The sequence below is a fragment of the Homo sapiens genome, chromosome 12 (assembly GCF_000001405.40).
Source record: "Homo sapiens chromosome 12, GRCh38.p14 Primary Assembly".
Taxonomy (NCBI): Eukaryota; Metazoa; Chordata; class Mammalia; order Primates; family Hominidae; genus Homo; species Homo sapiens.
This window is the reverse complement of record NC_000012.12, coordinates 14,111,013-14,112,230: the sequence shown is the minus strand read 5'-3', so window position 1 is coordinate 14,112,230 and position 1,218 is coordinate 14,111,013. Positions and strand designations below refer to the sequence as shown.

Sequence of the window (1,218 nt, the reverse complement as noted above, 5' to 3'; positions counted from 1 at the left end):
TGCAGGGGACACGAAAGCAGTGGTGGCTTGTTTGCCTAATTCAGCCCTCTGCAGCCAGCACCCTTCTCAATAAAGGGTGTAGACTCAGTGGAGGAATGCCGTGCTGCCCTCTTCTCTGGCAGTTCTAGTCCCTTTTTTCCTATCTTGATGTAGCACCAGCTTAAGAAAGGGGATTCTGGATGATCCTGGTGTAACAGGGTGTAAAAACGGGACTCTTTTTGTCTTTGTTTTACCTGAGACCTGAAAAAGTAGGTTGATAATAGGCCTGAAAAGAATAGGTCAAAAGGATCTCCGTGTTCTGAAATGAGGTGCCAAGACTCCCAAGCAGGGTGTAAGGACTGGTGCTCTATGCCTTAACAGGCTGCCCACCTCAGCAGTGGGGAGGACTGAGGGGCTTATTCCTCATTCAAGGGTAGTTAGGGGCTATGGTGGAAACACTGTAGCTGCTTCTGCCTCCTGCTTGTGAGACATAAAGGTAAGTGGCCGGAGCTGCTTGCTAGGCTGGCCGAGCAGGGAGAGGTGGCTCACACAGGAGCCTGGTGGGTTGGGAGCAGAGTATGTTAGAGTAAAAGGATGAGAGAGTGTTTTCTATGGATCATATGTGTACCAGATATGAGCCATGCTGGGAGAGAAAGCTGCCCTGGGATTTTGTTTTATACTGCCTGAGAGGACCACCTGGAAGGGGCAGGAAACCACAGCAGAAAGTGTGACATCAGGTGTCTAAACACCAAAGGAGGAAATATTAGCGACCCATCTGTGGAGATGCATTTCCTGCTTCAAGGGAACTGCAGGTAAGCGACCTCCAGTGGTGTGTGGGAGTATCTCTGAAATGCTCACGAAAATGCCACCGAGAAGTGTCTTTAACGCTTGCCAGCCCCAGAGAACACCACACCAGCTCACAGCAGCACCAGTCAAATCAGGCCTTCCCTGTTTATGGTGCAGTTAGCTGAGCTGGCTCTGGTAACAGATTAGCCCCGTATCCCAGTGGCTTAACACCGTACTGGCTTTATTTGTGTCTACACAGTCAGTGCAGGTGAGGATGCCCTCCTTTATCTCATGCAGGGGAGGATGGGAGTGGAGGAGGCATGTCATTTCCTAACTTTCTTGACTCAGAAGTTACATGTCATTTCCACTGACAGTTTCTGGCCAGAATAACTCATCTGGCCCAAACCTAACTGTTAGGAAAGCTCGATATGAAGGAAAGGAGGACGTGGAATA

The 1,218-nt window shown here is 49.7% G+C and overlaps 1 annotated feature.

Annotated features, from left to right (window-relative positions):
* Positions 626-675: an enhancer, noted in NCBI's record as "active region_6037". NCBI's record gives its function as "activates an Ori minimal core promoter by ATAC-STARR-seq in GM12878 lymphoblastoid cells {active_cell/tissue: GM12878}" and the evidence as "EXISTENCE:reporter gene assay evidence [ECO:0000049][PMID:35858748]".